A 21,681-nucleotide genomic window follows, 5' to 3' on the forward strand; every position below is an offset into this window, starting at 1 on the left:
TCAGCTGGGCGTGGTGGCAGGCGCCTGTAATCCCAGCTACTCGGAAGGCTGAGGTGGGAGAATTGCTTAAACCCAGAGAGGCAGAGGTTGCAGGGAGCCAAGATCGTGCCACTGCACTCCAGCCTAGGCAGCAGAGCTAGACTCCGTCTCAAAGAAAAAAAAGAGCACTGAGAACCAGCTGTAAATGGTGATCTACTCTTGCTAAAACGATTCCTTAAGCTCAACAGAGTCAATCTTGTTTCAAATGCATTTAGTGGCAGAAAAACAAACTAATTTTCTTTCATTATTTGACTGGACTCAATGCATTCAAGTCATGAAAGTTGATGATTCCAAATTCAGAATAAAATAACACATGACACAGATAGTTTAGCATTTTATCCTCATTTTTAACCTACAAAGTGTAATGTTCTCATAAAGTATTTTAATAAATATATTAAGGCTTAAGGTAATTACTGGTTTGAGTGGCGGGTGGTTTGCTTTCTAGCACACTAGTTTACATTCGGAATCTTAAAAATGAAAACATTTGCCATCTTACAGTGAGTGATACATCACATTGGCTTGCCCCAGTTTTTGTGTTCTTTTTTTTTTTTTCACTATTCAACATGTCTTCGTATTATCTTCCTTCCTCTCGTATCTGATAGACAAAGAATGATATAAAATTTTGGTTGAAAAAAGCCAGTTGATTGGGATGACTAGAAATGTTAACTTTTTCAGTAAAAAGCTTTCACCGAATCACTGGGCAGTTAGTAATGCAGCTTACAAATAAATAAAGCTGAGGCGAGAGGTTTAAACAGCAAGAAAAGCTGCAGAGCATATTGAGGAAGGGAAGCAGTGAAATGGTGGTTTTAATACATCCCAAACTGGAAGCAAGAACCCTAACACAAAGAGGATTGGAATACTCTACCATCTGTAAGGAAGTAGCTAGCTACAAGCCACCTCACACAAAACACCCACTAAGGCCTTTCACCGAGATCCTCTTGTTATATTCTCATTATGAATCCCCAGCAGGTGCACCTCAATAAATAGGTGTGGAGGATACTGCTGAGGACCTCTAGGTCACCTAAGCAGAAACTGCTGCCATCAAAGCAGACTGCCACCATGCATCCGCGGAGAACTCCCTGCCTACAAATGAAACTGGTAGCGCTCATCCCCTGTGCCCGAGGACCGTCCACAACGGAGGTGCTTTCTTGCAAGAGAAGCAGCAAATGATGACAGCGTGTCCAGTAGGAAGGGCTTCCCAACAGTCACATCCCTCCCAAGACCCTCTAGATGGACTCCAGAATCCAGTCGCTGCTGGAGAGGGAGGAGACAGGCAGTGACAAGTCCCGAGGAGGGCCTCGGTCCCTCCTGTCGTGCAGGGAGTTCTGCTCCTGGAAATATTCCTCCTCTTCATCGAAGAAGCCGTTCTCCAGAGCGTAAGTGCAGTCTGGGCTGGAGGCTGCCTGGCATGCCCCCTTGTACTCCTGAATCGACTCGTAGAGGCTGTACAGTTGGCAGAGCAAGGACATGTCCAGCTGGCGGAGACCAACCTTGAGGGAAGGGGTGGGGAGGTAAAAAACGAGAAGTCAGCACTTGAGTTTAATTTCAGTGGAACACTCAGCCGGCGATCTGCGCCTGCCAGCACATTCCTTCCACACGGCGCATGATTCAGAGCATCACTCGGATGCTTTGGATTTCCAGTTTTGAGAACACCTTAATTGTGTTATGCCCATACCTCAGACGTTACTCATTGAGTCCAGTGAGGATCGCATCTGTGGGGCAACCAGGGCAGCCTGCAGAATTTACCCTGGCGCTCCTGAGTGTGCCTGATGAAGCAACAGCACTGCATATTCTAGTGGCCCCACCTGCTTTCACTTTGGACGCCAAGAAACGAGTGTGTCACTTCCTCTCCCAATCAGACTCGGAGAAGACCCACATTGGCCTTCCCTGCTACTGCGTTAGGATCTGACTGATGCAGTCATTCTCAACTCCCAGGGGCAACAGAATGCCCTTTGCCAGTGACAGCAGCTGGCCAACGTGACATCCCCCTGGAGCACCCACCTCTGTGCAGTTCAGTGGTCAGAGGTTACACTGCCTCCCTCTCCTCCAGGCAGGGTCAGTCTTATCCCAGATGGTTCTGGGATCCCTCCCCAGAGTAACTGACTGAATATGAGGAAGCCCTGGAAGATGAAGGGCTCTACAGTTCCTCCTGAAAACTAGCCCCACAAAAACAAGCAGCAAAAGAACACAGAACATTTATAAAAGTCATATACTTGTTTATCTTCCAGTTCCTCCCTCCCCCACCACCCATCCCAGAGAAAAGAGCACGGTCACAGTCAGAACAGGAAATGCATCGTTTACACCAATACCAAAGAGAGAACAGTTAAGCCTCTTGGAAATGCAGCATAGACCAGCATCGGTGCCTCTTAACCTTTAAAGTGCATGAGAACCACCCGGGGATCTTGTTCAACAAGCAGACTCTGATTCAGTGGGTCTGGGGCCACTGGATGGCTGTGCTTCCACCAAGCCCCTATGGTGATTCCGTGCTATGCTGCTGTTCCACAGACCCTGCTCTGAATGGCAACGGGAAGAAACTCAAGAAGACACCAGGGGACCTGCCTTCGGCTTCTTGGCCCCTGAGCAAGGTATTTATCACCTTCATCTCCGTGCCTTGGTTGATGGCAAAATGGAACAATAATTTCTCTTATGGAGCTATTAGGGCAATTCAATATCAATCCACTCAATAAACAGGATTCTAATGCCTCCCGGGCTAAAGCACTAAAGATGCATGGGTACAGCTCTCCTGGGCGGCTGGAGAAGGAGCTTCTTCTCTGGAGTGCGCCGGTGGCAGCGCCTGCAGACCTAACTAGCTCCAGGACTTTAAAATACTGGAAATCTGTCCCGATCCAAATTCTTTTGCAAGCCAGATGATTAACCAGAGGGCACGAAAGGTTGAGAACATTCGACTTCCCTGCAAACCTTGGTATAGATCACTTCCTTTTCTGTTAGGAAACGAAAGGCACCAAAGAGCACAATGAGTACAAGAAAGCGTCGAGGTGGAGCAATAAATTCTAGACAAGCCCAGAAGCGAACACGGGAAGCAACCTCCACCCCTGAGATTTCCTTGGAAGCAGAACCCATAGAACTCGTGGAAACTGCTGGAGATGAAATTGTTGACCTCACTTGTGAATCTTTAGAGCCTGTGGTGGTTGATCTGACTCACAATGACTCTGTTGTGATTGTTGACAAAAGAAGAAGACCAAGGAGGAATGCTAGGAGGCTGCCCCAGGACCATGCTGACAGCTGCATGGTGAGCAGTGACGATGAGTTGTTGTCCAGGGACAGAGACGTGTATGTGACTACCCACACTTCCAGAAACACCAGGGATGAGGGCGCTATAGGCCTCAGGCCCTCGGGTACTGTCGGTTGTCCTATCTGCATGGACAGATATTCAGAGATCGTGCAGAATAGACGTCTCATCGTTTCCACAGAATGTGGCCATGTCTTCTGTAGCCAGTGCCTCCGTGATTCCCTGAAGAACGCTAATACTTGCCCAACTTGTAGGAAAAAGATCAACCACAAACAGTACCACTCCATTCATATATGAAGTATTCAGAGACGCCCAGGAGAGACGGATGGACAATCAGGTTCTCCAGTGGTATCTGCCTCCATTTTCCTGAGCTCAAAAAGACTGTTTTGAAACCCACGTCTGATATGTAAACTGCTCTTTTGTTTCCAACCCCTTCCTTTTGTTATCTCCAGTTTGATGCTATGGCGCTGGACCCAGGGCCCTCCCAGGCCATCTCTGTTCCTCTGGGGTGGTCCAGTTCTAGAGTGAGAGAAAGGGAGTCAGGCACACTGGGAATCGTGGTTCCAGTCTGGTTGCAGAACCTGCACATTTGCCAAGAAATTTTCCGTTTGGAAAGTTTGCCCCAGCTTTCCCGGGCACACCACCTTTTGTCCCAAGTGTCTGCCGGTCGACCAATCTGCCTGCCACACATTGACCAAGCCAGACCCGGTTCACCCAGCTCGAGGATCCCAGGTGCAAGAGTGGCCCCTTGAGGCCCTGAAAAGACCAATCACTGGACTTCTTCCCTTGAGAGTCAGAGGTCACCCGTGATTCTGCCTGCACCTTATCATTGATCTGCAGTGATTTCTGCAAATCAAGAGAAGCTCTGCAGGGCAATCCCGTTTCCTAAGAATGAAAAAGTGCAATAAAGGCCATTCGTTACCTACTTTTCAGCAGCCCACCAGATGTAGCACTATTAGTGTCCCCCTCAGAGGCTTAATGTTGCCTGTGGAGCAGTGCCCATCCCAGCCCATTTCTGCCCACCAGTTGTTCTCAGGAACCTTACCCATGCTCCAGCGTCCTTCACCTGGCACAGGACATGCAAGATAAATAGGACAGGCACATGTTTGGGTGTCCTCTCTTTTCTGATAAAATCCATCCGGTGTTTGCCACACGCCCTCCAGTCCTCAGTTCCCACTGCCTAACATCTGCCCCCCGTGTAGATACTGAGAGGTGGTGGCAGTAATTGTGGCCTTATCAGCCGCTCAGTTCCAGCCTTTTGCCCAGGTCACTGTTGCCCCATGTTCGGAGAACCTGGCCCACCTGACTTGGCTTTCTCATCCTTCCCAACCCCGTGCCGTTTATTTCAGAAGCCCACTGGGCTTGGATGCTTTGGGCCTTTGACTGCTCCATAGGTTATGACTGGTGAAACAGGGGCCCAGAGGACAACCTCTCCTTCACTCCACAGGTAGGTGGGAGCCTCAGGTTCGCTCAGGGGCAGCAAAGTGGCCCAAGCTGCCCCTGACAGCACAGGGCCTGGCGGTGGCTAACGAGAGAGGCCTTACAGTGCCGGCATGCCTCCTCTTCCGCTGCCCTCCTTCCTCAGAGGGCTTCAAGCAAAACAAACAGCCTTTTCGTGTGAAACATCTTCAGGGTGGGAAAGGGGCCACTTCTGGCTTTGTTAGCAATAACTGACCTTCAGTTTACCCTTCTGAAGGAGAAGGGACTCAGCACAGAATTCACTTTAGACGGGGCTGAAGGAGTGTCCCTCCTCTATGTGAAAAGAAAATTGTTTTATTCTTCATTCTGACTTTTTAACTGTTTGGCTCACTTCCAGTTAGTTTGAATGAAAATAATAATTTTCTACTTGGAGTTGAAGAGGGCAGAATCCTCAGCTCCCATCATTGTGATGTGTAGCGTGTCTGCCCCCTGACTGGACATCATTGCCATTAACTTTCTTCTGGGCATCACGGGAATGTCACAATGCCCAGACTTGGAGCAAGGCAACCTTGGAGTCAGTCCACTAATAAAATATGGTAACACCCATTTTAAAATTTCTTTAAGTTTTATCCTTGAAGACAACTTCAGTGGTTAATTATAAAAGTTGTGTACTTCGTCCTAAATTAAATTGATAAAAAGATTTAAAAATGTGTTTTGTTTCTACTATTCAGAAACTGCAAACTAGGGAAAGGTTGGTATGAAAAAATGTCTTTCCTTTTTTCAATGTACATAGTTCAACTCTTTCTTTGTTACATTTAAACTACATCCATGGATATCAGTCTGCTTTGGACTCCTCTGCTAGTGTTAAAGATGGAAATAAAACCATTAATTTGAACCAAAAAAAAAAAAAGATGCATGGGTACGCGCATGTAGAAAAGCACACAGAAAGTGTCAGAGGATTTACAGATTTTATAATTACCGAAATGACTCGTTTACCTAGCAATAAGATTTTCCACATAAGATAGTATGGCTTTCACAAAAGGAAGCTGAGGCCTGGTAAAAAGTGATCATCTTGTAAATAGATTGGGTGTTAAATTCCAGGTTTACTCTTCATACCCTCCAACTTTTCTAAATTGCCAAGTGAACACTGGCTGTCTCTCTACTATGGCCTGAATAGACCATAAAAATCAGAACTATGTTTTATTACATTGCATGCACACACACACACACACACACACACACACATTTAGAGATGGAGTCTTGCTTTGTCACCCAGGCAGGAGTGTGGTGGTATGATCATAGCTCACTGCCACCTCAAGCTCCTGGGCTCAAGGGATCCTCCTGCCTCAACCTCCCATGCTGCTGGGACTACAGGTGCATACCACCATGCCTGGCTAATTTTTTAAAGAAATTCTTTGTAGAGATGGGGCCTTGCCATCTTGCCCAGGCTGGTCTCAAACTCCTGGGCTCAAGTGATTTGCCTTGGCCTCCCAAAGTGCTGGTATTACAGGTGTGAGCCACTGTGCCCAGCCTACAGAGCATCTTTTGCTAAGACACTCAAGAAGACTTCCAGATAGAGAGGTGGGTTCTGTTGCTACCACAACTACTCTTTTTTTTTTTTTTTTTTTTTTTTTTGAGACAGAGTCTTGCTCTGTTGCCCAGGCTGGAGTGTAGTGGTGTAATCTCGGCTCACTGCAAGCTCTGCCTCCTGGGTTCACCCCATTCTCCTGCCTCAGCCTCCCGAGTAGCTGGGACTACAGGCGCTCGCCACTACGTCCGGCTAATTTTTTGTATTTTTAGTAGAGACGGGGTTTCACCGTGTTAGCCAGGATGGTCTTGATCTTCTGACCTTGTGATCCACCCGCCTCGGCCTCCCAGAGTGCTGGGATTACAGGCGTGAGCCACCGTGCCCGGCCACCACAACTACCCTTGACACCAGAATTTCTAAACTTTCTTAGGAAGAGACCTCAGCTGCAGGTCGGGAGCGTGGTCTCCAGGCCCAGCTTTGCCGTCCTCTGTGGCTTGGTTGAGGTCCCGACCCTCTGCCAGCCTATAAAATGGGGGATTTGGGCTCGCTCATCTATGGTTAGCTCAAACACTTTGTGACCCTATATAAACTGTTGCTTCTCTGTCCTAAATGAACTGCAAGCGAAAGACAGACAGTTTCCAGTACTGTACTCAGGAGCAAACTTTATTCAATGGCATCTCAAAAGCATACCTTGAATAGGCAAGCAATGGGCAACTTAAGAGATGCCCAGGCCACCACACCCTAAGGCAGACACCACTGCTTGCTCTTTTTCTTGATTAGAGTTCGAAAGGATGTGTGTCTGTCAAGAGGGAGGGAAACAGCATATCTGGCATTTGTGTTTTAAAAATTATCCATAGTTTGGGAATTTTCTATTAAAAAAAGGAGAGACAGGGAAAGAAAGAAGGAAGAAAGGAAGGAAGGGAGAGAAGGAGGGAAAGAAAAGTCAGTCAGTTTAGGAATTTTCTATTGAAAAAATAAATAAATAATACAAAAAGTACCCAGATGATGCTGATGCTCAGTTCCAGCAAAGAACCAGTGATCTTGACACAAATATCTTTCTGATTTTCCTGGGCCACTTATATTTATTATCCTGTAAGCCTGGAATTTCAGGCCAGCCAAGCAGAAGAGCACAGAATTAAAAGTGCAGGCTCTGGAACCTGCCTACCTCCCTGCCTGGGTTCAGATCTTGGCTCCGCCACTCACCAGCTGAGAAACTGTGGATAAATTGCTCAGCTCCTAAAAAAAAAAAAAAAAAATCAATAGCCTCTATTCTCATTGTTAGTATTTCCATGGTTTCTTTTCCACTCTGCTAGTGGGCAGACTCACCTCAGGAAGGAGCAGCAGGTACAGCCAGGCTCTGAAAACAGAAGCGCCCCATCCCACTGTGTTCCTCCCGCTCCTCTCCCAATCCAGCACTGAGGTGGTACATGAGAAGGAACCAGATGGTCACCTTCGCTCAGAAGACAGCCAGCATAGTCAGGCAGGGTGACAACGTGCCAGTGACACTGCCTCATGAGGAAGGGAAACTCTCAAATAGGAAAAGACTTGGGATATCTTACCTCAAACCCCAAAAGGAGGACCTTCCAAACCACTGCACTCCTCTCCAAACCAATACGATTATTTTATACAAAGTCAAAGCCTCCCAGCCTGGAGGCCCCACAGAGCCCTTGATGCTGGGTGTGACAGCTGAGCATCCAAACAGATCTAATTTAACTCTCTCCTAACTACTACCCTTTAATCTGAAGGTCATTTACTTTCCACCACCCCATGCCCTAAAACAAAAACCAAACCTGTGTTCTTCTCTCCAAGCTAAATATCTCAGGCCCTTCCCCTATTTTCATTATGACCTCTCGTCCACTAACACCCGTGGCCTTTCCTCTAGACTTACTCCTGTTTTCCAGGATTCCTCTGCAGAATTGCATCTGGATGCCATCAACATGCCCCCAGGAGTCTGACTCGGCCAGCTCTGACGTCCCTATCTTTGCTAGGATTTCATAAAAGAAATAATAACTTTAATCGAGAAAGCCACACTCTCTCGGGGTCACATAGTATGTGCTCAAAAACCATGGAAGAAGATCATCTGGAATCCTAGATCTACTCTCCTGCTGAGTCCCTCTGACACCAGTAGGGTGGGTAAACCCAAGACTCGATTTCTTACCCCAGGAATGAATAATGGAAAAACACCTAAGTAGCAGTGGGCACCCTGGTATCAGAGCAGGTCTGCTTTTCTCCTTCCTGGGATGGTTTGAGGTCGGCCCAGGTAAACACAGGAGCCTGAACGCTTCTAGGTTTCAAAGGCTCTGACTCCCCATGACCCCATTCCAGCCAGACACGTGGCTCCAGGCTTTTCTCCTGACAGTGCCATTTCCAAGGTATTCCCAGGCCCACCGAGGTGATGCACCCGGCAGGGAGTCGAAAGCAAAGAGGATCTCTCCCTGGACACTTCTGCACTGTAGCACCCAGATGACTCACAAAGCTGCCTTGTCGTCAGGTGGAACACTGGCCTAGAAAGGAATCCTGACCGCCTAGGAATACAGCGCAGCCCCGCACACACCTATTACACAACCCGACACATGGCAAAAGTTCAGACGGATTTAACAAGGATTAGACGCACACACATACATATGCACACGCACACACACGCCTACACACCTCCCAGCCTCTCAATGCCACTGTCTTCAGGCACCAGACTAAACTTCCTGATTTACCAGAAATCCTCTAAATCAGCTCGGAGGACATAAGGTAAGTCACTGCACAGTAAACCAGACTTCCTAGCCCGGGCCCCTCTTCCTCAGCTGTGGCTGTTTAAACAGCGACACTTAACATTTTCTAGAGGGAGGTGGAAGATCCGTAGGCAGCACTCCACCATCTGGTCTGACTGTTCTTCAGGCTTACGCCCTTGACTCCCAACCTGCACAGCCCCGACTGTCCCCCATGACACCCTCATCCCCACTGCATCTGTGAATGCTCCTCGACCACCCGCCCTGTACCTGATTCCCTCCACTCTTCAGACTGTGATTGGTTCAGCCAGTGTTCATCCTTTGCCCTCGGCGTCTCCACCTGTCTTAGGACATTTACTACTCTCTATATTATCGGTGTGCACACAGGTCTTCTCTCTCCTGACACAGGACAAGCTCCATGAAGGCAAACACCATTTCCCTTTTGGATCTCTCAGCACCCAGCCCAGAAACTCAGAGCAGACAGGCAGATATTTGGTGAATCAGTGAAAACGCCTGGCTGCAGAGATCTCACCCTCCCAGAGAACACGTAGCCGCAGAAGTGGCCTGGCAGTGGGGTGGTGCTGGCACCCACAGACCCTCTGGCTGCATCCCTCGGGCAGTCACAGAGGTGCAGACTGAACGGGCAGCCGCCGAGTGCCCTGTACACAAGGTGTCCCTGTGGGAAGCATCAGACCACTGAGTCCCCGCGTGCCTCCCATCACATCAAGGGCCAAAGACACCCAACCAAGTTTCCTCCAGGAGCGCTCTTTAGAGGGCAGATCTGGTGGTCAGTCTCTCTACACTGAAGGTATGTGGGTCTTGGATGCAGGAAGGGGAGAGAGCAACCATCCAAAAGGACTTGATTGCAAGACATGGTTAAGTCACCATGAACAAGAACTTCTCACCCTTCCAGAAAAAGAGTGGCTGGGGAGCCGCCGAGCAAGCCACTCTCCGAGCAGAAGCAGCCTGGATCTCAACGGTGTGTTCTCGCATGCCCTTGGAGGACGGCTGGTCTCCACATTCACAGCTGGATTCAGAAAATACAGCTCTCTTTTGAAAGCACACGTTTTGAAAATGCAGACAGGCTCATTTAAGAAAAACATGGAATGCTCAAACCCTGCAATTTGTGGTCCCTTATTCTCCACTTTAAATTCAAGAACAATCAGCAGCTTCCATGGCCGTAAACTGCGAGCGCAGGTCCTTCCGCTCTCTGCTCAGGCTTCCTGCTTCCTTCCTGATCATTCACTCCTCTTCTCCCATGCCCAGAGCTCCCCTCCACCCCTCCCGCAACACACACAGGTGGCCCCGAGAGCCACAGCATTCCCAACAATGGGGCCAAACAAGCCCAAACCACCCTTGAAACTGCTTCCTTTCACTTGGGATTTTCAAAACAGTAGGCTCCACATACAAATACACTCCAGACAGGGCGGTGGCTCCCAGCTGGGTGTTAAGTCACTGAAAGTCTCTGAGTATCTCTGGAGGCTGCATGGGGGAGAGAGTTCTTCCTAACTTAAAGCAAGGACAATAGAAATATGACCACTAGGAAACAAGGCTTAAAAGATGAGAGGAACCTTTAAAAGGAAATTTGTGTTGATTTAAACCAAAACATCATGAAAAATGTTAAGATTTTTTTAGAAATTAAAAAACTGCCATTTGCAGATTACAGGCTCACGCCTGTAATCCCAGCACTTTGGGAGGCTGAGGCAGGAGGATCTGCTTGAGCCCAGGAGTTCCAGGCCAGCCTGGGCAAGATGACGAGACCCTCATTTCTACAAAAATATTTTAAAAATTGGCTGGGTGTGGTGGTACGTGCCTGTGGTCCCAGCTACTTGGGAGGCTGAGGTGGGAGGTTCACTTGAGCCCAGGAGGTTGAGGCTGCAGTGCGCTGTGATCGCACCACTGCACTCCAATCTGGGCAACAGAGCAAGACCCTGTCTCAAAAAAAAGAAAAAAAAAAAGAATGACAAAGGCCCTTGCCTAAGGCCATCTAGTCAGTGGCAGAGTGGGGAGGTGACCAGATCTGCAGGACTCTGAAATGGGTGCTTTGACAATCACCCTGCACTGCCTGTACAGGGAAGATGAAGAGAGAGGCCCCAGTCTCAGCAGTGGTATAGCAACCTGCTTGGATCACAGGCCATTTTTATTCCTGGCTTTTCTGAATTTTCTAAGTTTTCTATTGTGAAAATGTATTAACAATGAGAAAACTTTCACAGTTATCTTTTAAAAACACAATGAATGAGTAAGTATATACAGATGGCTCACAAATTTATTTTAAAGACTTGGTAAATGCCCCAAATCTAATCACAGTGTCTAGTTTATATCCACAGGCCTGGACTGTAATTGAAGAAAGCAGAGATCCAATCGATTATAACCTGATTTCTGATAAAAGATATGTTGACTGAAGGATGCTGCCCTGCATAGTGTTTAGAAAAAGCCGAAGAGAGACTTCATCAGTGTTGATGCAGTTGGAGACGGGCTATGAGCCCAGCTACCCAAGCTTGACAGAAACACCCTTGAAGGACTCTCAGCTCCCTGGTGGGTTCCAGCTCTGTGCTCACTAAACGGCTTCTGATGACCTGGTCTCCTATGTAGCCTTCTCCTCCCATGGGCGGAAACATATTCGTGTCATCTGGTCAGCTTCATCTCCTGTTAATATTTTAGACCTGCCAAGCTGAGGACTAGACTCTAAAGCGCCATCAGGATTCAGAGACAGAAGATAAACCGGGTTGCATGACTGTGCCCCCAGATTAACCCCCATTAAACCCAAAGCACATCCCACCTCTATACTTTCCAGGAAACTCCTCTACCAGGTAAAGCTGTTTGAATTGGATTTTCTGCTAACTTACAAGTGAGGGCATCCACACTGACACAGAGACTGTTCTGCAATTTAACAATTCTCAGAAGGACATTCTTGTTTATCTCTAACCTAAACTAACATTCATACAAACTAAGCCCATTTCCTCTTGTTCTGTCCTGGATATAGATGAAGAAAAGCAATTGACCATTTTCTTTAAGAAATGTCTTTGTACATTCTTTTATTTTTTTTCTGATTATAAAAATAAACACTCTAATTGTATTATAAATTCAAATGGTTCGTAATCATACAAACCAGTTCTCCTTAATTCCCTGTTATAAAATAGCAGACTTCAAATGTTTTGGTCTCCAAACACTCTAAAAAATTATTGAAGGTCCCAAAGAGCTTTGGTTTATGTGGGTTATACCTATCAATATTTACATTACTAGAAATTAAAACTGAGAAAATTTAAAAGTCACCAACCAGGTGAGGTGACTTACACCTGTAATTCCAGCACTGTGGGAGGACAAGACAGGTGGAGCACTTGAGCCTGAGAGTTCGAGACCAGCCTGGACAACATGGCAAAACTCTATCTCCACAAAAAATATAAAAATCAGCTGGGTGTGGTGGCATTTGCCTGTGGCCCCAGCTACTTGGGTGGCTGAGGTGGGAGGATCACCTGACCCTGGGAGGCAGAGACCACAGTGAGCCAAGATCTTGCCATTGCACTCCAGCCTGGGCAACAGAGTGAGACTCTGTCTCAATAATAATAATAATAATAATAATAAACCTATTACATGCTAACACAAATAACATTTTCATAAATCTTTTTAAATATCTGGCTTATCTGGTTCTGCATTTGGTCCTTTGTGACGTGCTGTTTTGGTTGAAGTAAATGAAGAAAATCTGGCCTCATACAGCTGTATAACTGGGAAATGAAGGAGTATTTCAATAGCCTTTTCAGACAATTGTGGATATTCCTCTTTGCTACCGCCCTTTAGTTGACTGCTGTTTAGTGTGGAATTTGGAACTATACCAATGAAATGTTCACACTCTATTACATTAAAACCCATCAGTCTTGCACTTTGAATGGATCTTTTAATATCAAGCACAGTCATATGAAAAAAGTGGAAAATTGATTCAATAAATTATGCAGGATCTTCCAAATGTTGGTACATTTTCTTATATAATAACCAAAAAGTCACATTTGTCAATATCACCATCATATAATTATGGACCCTCTGAAAGAATCTCAGGGGCCCCTAGAGGTCCCCAGACCACACTTTGAAACTGTGGTTCTTCAGATATCCACTTGTAGTAGTTTAGCATATATTCCTCAAAGCACTATGCACACTCATATTGTTTTTTCTCTACTGTTACCACATACACAAAGTTAGGTAAGTACTGTTTTGTAACTTTACACTGTGAACATCTTTCTATATACATATATAGTTACCATATTCTTTTCAACAATTGTACAGTATTCTATCACTATTATAAAAAATCCTGCAATACACATCCATGTATAAGTGCCATTATCCACTTGTGTGGATGCTTCTGTAAGGTACACTTGTGAATATGAAATTGTGGGGGACAAGGAGGACAAGGAGAGAAGAATGCCCAAGGCGCCTTTCCAATCCTCCCCAACCCCGGGCCTCAAGTCCAAAGCAATGGGAAAATGTAATGGGAAGAAAGACGTTTACCAATAAAGTGATTCAATTTGGACTACTTTTCATCACAAAATAATTTTATGTCTGTATTGGTATAAGAAAGAGTCAATAATTGGCTTTAGCTGTATGAAGATTTAACAGTCATACTGCAAACATTTTACATCCCTTTTGTGACCTAACTTAAACATATTTTAAAATTATATTGCAATTCTGCTTTGCTATTTAATAGAAAGCCATTTCAGAGTTTTTAAAAAATGCAATTACAAGGTCAAAAGACAGGCACATATTCAATTTCAGAGGTATTACCAAACTGCGCTCAAAAAACCCTGCAGCACTTTACACCGCCCCACCCCACCCCGCCCCCGCCAGCCCCCACCCCCCACCCCCAGCAATGCATGAGAAGGTTTACTTCTCCAAACCCTCACTGTGACAGGATCATGCTTTTCTACCTTTGTCAGTCTTGGAGGTACAACATGATACCTTATTGTCTTAATGTATACATCCGTGGTTATAAGGAATGTTAAACACCTTGCCACTTCTCTTTTAGCAGCATTTAATTTGGATATTTTATATCCAATTTTAATTGCAATTGAGAGTCCCAAAGAGCTTTTGTTTATGTGAGCTATACCTGTCAATATTTACCTTATTAGAAATTAAAGCTGAGAAACTTTATTAATCCATTTAGGTTAACCAAATCACCCACCTAAGAATACACTCGCTTTCACCTGCATCTCAGTCACCTTCTTCCTCAGCCTAGGCTCTCCTGGCTGGGACAGGCCTGGGGTTCCCCAACAATTACCCGCTGACTAGGGAGCTCTGGGCAGAGGACAGAGGCCCTCCCTTCTCCCCAGATCCCTCCACTGGTCAAAGATGGTGCCTCCCTCCCGAATCCTTGAGACTCAGAAAGCGCACACCTGCAAAACTAGGCCAGCTCATGGCTGTCGGGGCCAATCAAGGAAGTGAACAGAGAGTGCCCACAAAAACGGGAAAGGCCACATGTCTTAATGAATTTCTGTAGACTTCTAAAGTAGGCTAAAGGTTTTTCTGTCTCCAGAGTTCCTGGGAGAGGGTGACCATCTGTGTTAAGTGTCTGTGGGGAACGAGCCACAGGAAGTAGTGAGCAGCCTTTATGACTCCTGTCTAATCATCACTTCCAAACATTAGGAACACGTGGGCAAAGGCCAAGGCGGCCAGGAGGCCAGGGCTCCATATGGAGAATGACACTGGCAACGGGGGCAAATATCTGAGCAGCCAGCCTCGGGGGATCGCTTCCTGAGCATGGAGTCTGTGGTCTGTCTGGTTTCCTCCACAGCATTATGAAAAGCTTGGTTTTTCAAAGTGGGGTCTAAAGTCTCCATGGAGTTCCTGCAGGCATTCCCAGAGCGAAACTGCGAAACTTCCATCTGCAGCTTGGTGGGAGTGAACTGCAAGCCAGGCATGGTTCCCTTCTTGAACCCTCCCTAAACATCCTTGCCCACCTGGCCTCAGGGGGCTACAGCCATGTCGGTGAGACCAGGACCCAGAGCAGGGGAGGCACCGCTGTCTGCAAGGTACAGAAATGCCAGGGCTATTGCTCACTTGAGGCTATCTGCAAATGAAGAGGTGCCCACACTGCCAATTATTGGGGCACCTTTACATTTACATTGAACAGATGCTTACCTTTAAACAAAAGGGAAAAAAAGGAGAAGGGTTGTAAGATATTTATGAGTTAGGAAAAATATCAATTTATAGTACTTTGCAGGTAGGTACAGTAATAGAGCAAAGTTTAAAGTGGTATTTTTACTTTTAATCCTTTATATCTTCAAATCTCGGGAGAAGAACTCTAACCTCACTTGGAGATAGCATCAAGTGAATGAAGCCAGGCAATGACCCACACACTGCCCTTACTGTCCCCCACCCCACACCAAAGACATGGGCATGCTTTCATACACACAAACTAATATATATTCTTTTTTCAGTTTTTGCTTTTATAGGGTGGACATTGGGATGGGGATGGGACAAGTACAGGGTAGCAGTGGCCTGAAAATCTTAATAACTGGTGTAGACAGCCTAATTTTTGATGAACTGAGCTCAAGAATAGCAAACTTGTACCTTTCTTCCTTTTCTGCTTCCCATTCTTTGCATTCAAGGAATTCACAGCAACTAGGTATAGCTGTGAAGTGTCCTTGGGGACCCCAAGCAATATGCTTGGTGACAGGCCCCGCACGTGTGCCCAAAAGTTATGACAGAGCCAACTTCTTCTGTAGGCATCAGAAAGAACCATAGAGGCATGAGGGGTAAAGAATACTGCCATGGCCAAAAGGACCCTTTATGGCATTTAATTCTCATTTTCCCAATAAGAGATTTTAGCCCAAAAGAGTGAAGTGGCTTGTCAGAACTGTATCACATAGTTTATTAACACCAAATTCGAGCTTTTGATCCTTGATTCATGTGCTTCTCCAGTCTTAAACGGCTTGTTAAAAATGCAGATTCCTGCTGAGCACAGTGGCTCACGCCTGTAATCCCAGCACTCTGGGAGGCTGAAGCGGGCGGATCATCTGAGGTCAGAAGTTCGAGACCAGCCTGACCAAGATGGAGAAACCCCATCTCTACTAAAAATACAAAAAGAGCCGGGCATGGTGGCGCATGCCTGTAATCCCAGCTACTCAGGAGGCTGAGGCAGGAGAATCACTTGAACCCGGGAGGTGGAGGTTGTAGTGAGCCGAGATCGCGCCACTGCACTGCAGCCTGGGCAACAAGATAGAAACTCTGTCTCAAAAAAAAAAAAAAAAAAAAAAAGGCAGATTCCTTCTCCCAGCTACTGATTCCAGAAGCACAGAATGTGGCCCTAAAATCTGCATTTGGGCAAGCAGCCTAGGAGATTCTGGAGCTGGCGGTCCATCCTTTGGGGATCGCTGTGCTAGACTATGCTAGTGGAAAGACTAGTGAAAACAGACAGTATTAAAGGCCGCTAGACATCCCCAGTCTCCTCTGACCAACGCCAATCAAGAATGCTGCACTAGGAGCGAATCCCCTTATTCTAAATGGCACTTCATAGCCTGACTCAATCACAGCCTCTTAAAGACTAAAACTTCCTCTGTAAGACACTGGTTTCACATAAAGGATAAGGACTGTACTCCACTGGGGTGTCAGCTATTCCAGCTAATGAGCTGGAATCCAGTTCACTGGACAAGCTCATTAGGCATTTAGTTGTTTCAACTAAAATGTAGGAAGGCTAATTGTTACTAGTTTCACAAATTCAACTTTTTTTTTCCTTAGGTTCAATTCTTTACACAACATTGCAATTTGGGAATTCAAAAGTTCTGTGTGGATGACTTCCCACTCTGCACAGGTGGGAGACCAAAATAACTGATAGTTTAAAGAAAAAAATGAGGCGAAGAGATTCCAAATCAAAGCTACTAGACCTTGCTGCTGACTGTGGGAGCAGCTGAACCCAAGAATCCCCAGGGATGCTGCTCCTCAAAGATCTCCTGCCCCCAGGGCTGAAGGTCTTTGTGTCTCTACACTCTAGTGTGACTTCTGGTTACCTGTAAGGTTGATGATCTAACCTCGCACGGGTGCTGGGAAGGGCAGTCTATGTAAAAATCTATGCAAGGACTGGTGTGTGCCAGGGGTCCCAGCTGACACCCAGTCAGGGACATCCTTCAACCACATGCAAATATTTTAAAGGCCAACCAAGATCTAGTTAGCCAAGCTAGCCATCAGCTTAGCAGATAAAAAATCTTTCAAATTGTGGGACCCTTGAGGGCAAAGTATTTTTATATAGAACGGGGTCTGCAGTAGATGTCTACTACTTTACCCCTTGCTCCATTTTTGCAAACTGTCCTTTCTTTAGAGAATCCCCAGTGTCCGACTCCATCCACATGCTCACACCATCTTATTAAAATACAATCTTGTCCTTGTCACTGTTGGCTGGCCCAGGCTGGCCAGGCCACCTAAGCTAGGCCAATTGGCATCCTTCCACAGTATTTGCAAACTGCAACTAAGCAGCAAGGCCAAAATTGAGGGTGGCCACTGTTAGAGGCCAGGTTCCAAAATGGAGGGAAAAAACAAAACAGAGGAGGAGGGGAAGAGAATACCTCAGTGGACTTCCTGGATTCCCCATAAGCCCTAGTTCTAGCCTGTCTCTGTATACATCCAGTCTATAAGATTGTCCTTTTGAAAAAGCTAGTTCAAACTAAGTTTCTATTACTAATATAGAGTCTTTGGTCATGAAAAATGAAAACTAGTCTAAACTAAAGCAATTCTTTTTCTGTAAAGATGCCCACATCTACCAGGTGTGATAAGCCCCTTAACATCTAGATATTTCCTATTCACCCTTAAACCATCCACAGTACTTGCTATCTAACATACACCCAGTAATCATCTCTTAAACGTGATCTAAAGATATTCTCTGATGTAAAAATCATCATCATCAACTTTTTCAAAAGGACTTTTTTGGTCTGTAGAGCAATAACTATCTGTGTGACCCTTGAAGCTTTCCAAGTGGGCCCTTCTGGGGAGGGGACGAGGACTTACGAGTAGTGCAGAATTTCACAGGGGTTACTAGAACAGGAAGTGTTGAAACGTGGAGCTGAAACCACAACTCTCCAAGCAGAGGAGGGCATCAGCAGTCATGAGACAGACCCTTCTCAGCCCTGGGCTCCAGCTCTCCCAGCCTCCACCCTCGGCATCCGAATGGCCTCTCCTCCCATTGAGATGGTATTACTCCCTCAGCTCCAACCATCTCTTCTACTGGCTATCTCCAGACCAAAACCTCTCTTCCAGCTTCCAGCTCCACATTCTGAAATGTTTAACATGCTCTTCAGCTGATGCGATGACAAATTACCTTCCTCCCTAAAGCAGCTACTCCTCCTGACTCCCCAAGTGCCATAATGAACCCCACTTTACCAGTGATTGATTATTAAGCTTCAAAACCTTGCTAACTGCCATACAGTGGTATACTACACACTCACTGAAGTCATTATAATATATCTTGACTGGGAAAATAATTGCAATGTGCAGCCCAAAAAGCAAACCAAAATATATGTGATCAATGTGTTGTATATATGTATGTGTGTGTGTGTGAGAGTGCATGCATGTGCACAGACAGCAGACTGCAATGGTTAAATAGGGCTTTGGAGCCAAAGAGACCTGGTAGGGTCTGTGACCTTATGGGAGTTCAACTCTCAGCATCCAATTCTTTAATATAAAACAGACTTTGAGTATCTATCTCATGGAGAATTTATACCATTAAATAAGATACTATATAGAAAGCACTTACATTGCACCTAACAGAAGATATCCCAAAATACTAAAAGTGATTATTTCTAGGTGCTGGCACTGTAATTTTTAATTTTTTGCTTGGCTACATTTTCCATGAAAAAGCTTAAGTTATCTTTGATCCCCTTTTCATCATCTTCCTTGACTCAGTAATTCCTCCAGCTTCGGCTTCAGAAAAGTGTCTCCCACATGAGTCTTGTTTCACATTAGCAAGCCCCCTACCCTGCTGGGGACTCCATCACCTCTCCCATGAACACCTCTCATCTTCCTGTTGAGCCTCCAAAGTCCAGCTCTCCCTTCTGCACCCTGCTGTAGAATTCATTTCTTCAAAGTCCAACTGGGATAATACCATTCTCCTGCTGAATGCCCATCCTTGCTACTCAGGCTTCTCAGAGTCCACTCGGTCCACCTGCCCAGGCCCTTCTTGCTCACATTTCAAACTGGCGCACTCCCAGTTCCAGCTCCGCAGCTACCTTCCTGGTGCCTCTTTCCCTTGTCGAAATTCTGTCGCCTTCTGAGGTCTTCCACACCACCCTGCTCCCTGTCCCTATTAGAAGTTGCCCCTCTTTCTATGCTTGCTTTAAAAAAAAAAATTTCTTTAAGGCATTTATCACATTCTACCATGACATCTAGTTATGTCCCCTGCCACAGATTTGACGTCAGGCCTTCAATTTAAACAGATCAACACAAACTATTTTGCAGATATCTCAGGAATGAACTCCCAGTTCTTGTTTTGCAAGGCCTCCCCAGAGGGAGTCTCAGCTTGAGTTGTCCACTCAGACCCCATGGCCCCAAGTCAGTAAATCAATTAAAAAGCCGAAAGATTCTCTGGGCAACTTTAAAGGCCTTGTGACATTTCTTGAAAGGAACTTGTCAAAACCTGCAGCCATATCTTATCTTTATCTCAGCTAAATACCAGGCAGACCAAAGATGGCTGTTTATTTTTCTTGTGCTTCAAATAGGCTTACAGAGAGCTCTGGTCCAAGGCGTAATTATACGGATGTGGTTGTGCTTCAGTCACACCAGGAGGGACCTGGAAAAATACTTCTGGGAATGGCACGTTGACTCCCAAGCCACCATAGCAAGACTCCAGAGCATGTTTATAAACCACAGCTTCACAACAGGAGCGGCCCCGAGGTTTTTCTATCTCTTGCTCAAGTATGGAATTTAAATAATCAAAGATGATCTTCCTACTTCACCCCCGTGGTTCTGCTATGTCCAAGTTCAGACTGTAAACACACTACGTGTAGATTTATCTAATTAAAATGCAGTTCACCAGCTGTGTGATGCTTATGTCAATGAATGTTTTTTAATAAATTAAAAACGGTTGGCTTGGAATTTAAGTGGTTCTGTAAGAAGCTTAGAAAATCTTTTCAGTGAGAATTGGAAATCACTTCAATGCCAGCTACAGAGTAGGAAGACAATATCTCTTTGATTAAAAGTGTTAAGGCTGCTTTCTGAATTCAATTAAGTCTTAGTTTTCAGAACAGATAATGCTCCTGAAAAAAAAGTATGCATACCCTGAATTTTTCTAAACAATATCTTAAATGCACTAGATACATATTTAAAAGATTCCTATAACAATTTATTTTTTGGCAAATTTAGTTTTGGGAAAAGGCAGCTTTCCTAATGTTAGATTTCTTAACAATTTACCTATAGGGAAAGGAGACAACCTGGACGAGGTGAATGGAAAGGGAGGCTTTTAAAACGAGGGGATTGGGAGGAGGTGATGGGGGCCAGTAAGATGGTAGAAAAGAGGAAAAGTTTTTGATTTCTTCTTGCCTGGCCTACGCCTGGCCGAGAAAGCTGGGGAAAGACTCGCTGTTGCCTAAATCCCTGCCCTTGTCCTACTTTTAGCGTCACCCTAAATCATGTGTGTTCTGGTCCACAAACAGCTAATGTACTTCCCAAGCACAGAGAAACACTGAGCCCATGGTATGGAGCTTAGACACAAGGCGAAGAACTCACATGGACAGCACCCAGACCGGGAGGACAGCCACCTCCCACCTTTCTCAAGAGGGTTTGGGCAATCAGCTTCGCGGGGCTGAGGGACCCGGCCGCCTCCCTCGCCCGGGGTGCGCGTCTGCTTTCGCAGCCATCTGTGCGCCGGGGCCATCCCGCGGTAATCGGATCACGGACGCGCGGCCTGGGGCGCCGGAAAGGGGGCCGGGCTGTTCCAATCTGCTGTCTACACTGGCGGCGGACAAAAGTTGTCCTCTTCGTGGTAGGAAAACGCAATCGCGTTAATCCGTTGGGCCGCTGTGAAAGCCTTTCCCCCACCGGGAAGGTCTGTTTCACTCGGGGAGAGGTGACAAGGCCGCCCCCGCCCCCAGGCCAGGCACGAACCCCGCACAGCGCTTCCGGGCGCCCAGGTTTCCGAGCCAGCGGGGCCGGACTGAGGGCGCCGGGCATAAGAAAGCCGCCCTCTGCGCGCGGGGCTCTCCCGCGGGGGTTCCAATCGTGGGCACGGAGCACGCGAGAAAAATGGGGGTCGTTGGGAGGACGGCGCCGGCGCCTGGGGCGGAGGAGCCCGAAAGGGCGGGTGGGCGCGGGGACTTCCGGACAGAGCGCGGTCCCCGCGAACTTTCCCGGGACGGCGAGCCCGGCCGGGAAGAGCCCCAGCTCGCGGAGCCCCACTCACCATCTCTTTGCGGAGCAGCGCCAGAGCGGCGTCCAGGTTGGGAGGCTTGGCGGGCAGCGCTGCCGCCCGGGCCCCGCCGCCGCCCGGGCCCCCGCGGCTCAGCTCGTCCTGGATGCGCGACTTCTGCGCGTACAGCCGCTCCAGGTGCCGCCAGCCCCCAGACGCGCCGCCGCCCGACGCCGAGTGCAGCAGCCCGCTCAAGCTCTTTGGCAGCGGGGGCAGCCCGTCCACCCGCAGCCCCCGGACCGCGCCGTTGCCCGCGGCCCCGGGCGCCGCCCGGGCCCCACTCATCGCGCCGCGGCCCGGCCACGCGCCTGCCCCGCTGCAGCGAACCAAGGCTTTCCCCCGGCCCGCCCCC

The 21,681-nt window shown here is 47.0% G+C and overlaps 1 protein-coding gene, 1 non-coding gene and 1 pseudogene across 2 annotated transcripts, besides 3 other annotated features; 1 reads left to right on the forward strand and 2 right to left on the reverse strand.

Moving 5' to 3' along the window:
- Positions 1–360: 360 nt before the first annotated feature.
- FAM89A (family with sequence similarity 89 member A) lies at positions 361–21,657 on the reverse strand. The gene is made up of 2 exons (NM_198552.3): positions 21,324–21,657; positions 361–1,529 (listed from the first exon to the last, which is right to left on the reverse strand). The coding sequence occupies exons 1-2, from the start codon at positions 21,612–21,614 to the stop codon at positions 1,266–1,268; spliced, it is 555 nt and encodes a 184-aa protein (NP_940954.1). The 5' UTR covers positions 21,615–21,657; the 3' UTR covers positions 361–1,265.
- Positions 1,231–1,327, reverse strand: MIR1182 (microRNA 1182). The gene has a single exon (NR_031593.1). It is a non-coding gene; the product is annotated as a microRNA 1182 (primary transcript).
- On the forward strand, positions 2,776–5,608 carry LOC644006 (ring finger protein 4 pseudogene; annotated as a pseudogene).
- Positions 20,335–21,016: an enhancer, noted in NCBI's record as "H3K27ac-H3K4me1 hESC enhancer chr1:231174678-231175359 (GRCh37/hg19 assembly coordinates)". NCBI's record gives its function as "activates a minimal SCP1, AML or CMV promoter by ChIP-STARR-seq in naive H9 embryonic stem cells {active_cell/tissue: H9 hESC(naive)}" and the evidence as "EXISTENCE:reporter gene assay evidence [ECO:0000049][PMID:30033119]".
- Positions 20,679–20,758: a silencer, noted in NCBI's record as "silent region_1946". NCBI's record gives its function as "represses an Ori minimal core promoter by ATAC-STARR-seq in GM12878 lymphoblastoid cells {active_cell/tissue: GM12878}" and the evidence as "EXISTENCE:reporter gene assay evidence [ECO:0000049][PMID:35858748]".
- Positions 21,399–21,448: a silencer, noted in NCBI's record as "silent region_1947". NCBI's record gives its function as "represses an Ori minimal core promoter by ATAC-STARR-seq in GM12878 lymphoblastoid cells {active_cell/tissue: GM12878}" and the evidence as "EXISTENCE:reporter gene assay evidence [ECO:0000049][PMID:35858748]".

The sequence above is a fragment of the Homo sapiens genome, chromosome 1, assembly GCF_000001405.40.
Source record: "Homo sapiens chromosome 1, GRCh38.p14 Primary Assembly".
NCBI classification, from domain to species: domain Eukaryota; kingdom Metazoa; phylum Chordata; class Mammalia; order Primates; family Hominidae; genus Homo; species Homo sapiens.

What these genes read in the sequence shown, in the direction of transcription:
- FAM89A (NM_198552.3), bottom strand. Translation starts at nt 21,614, where the DNA reads ATGAGTGGGGCCCGGGCGGCGCCCGGGGCCGCGGGCAACGGCGCGGTC. An exon ending in CGCTGCTCCGCAAAGAGATG is followed by an intron (nt 1,530 to 21,323) that starts GTGAGTGGGGCT and finishes CCTTCCCTCAAG; the next exon opens with GTTGGTCTCCGCCAGCTGGA.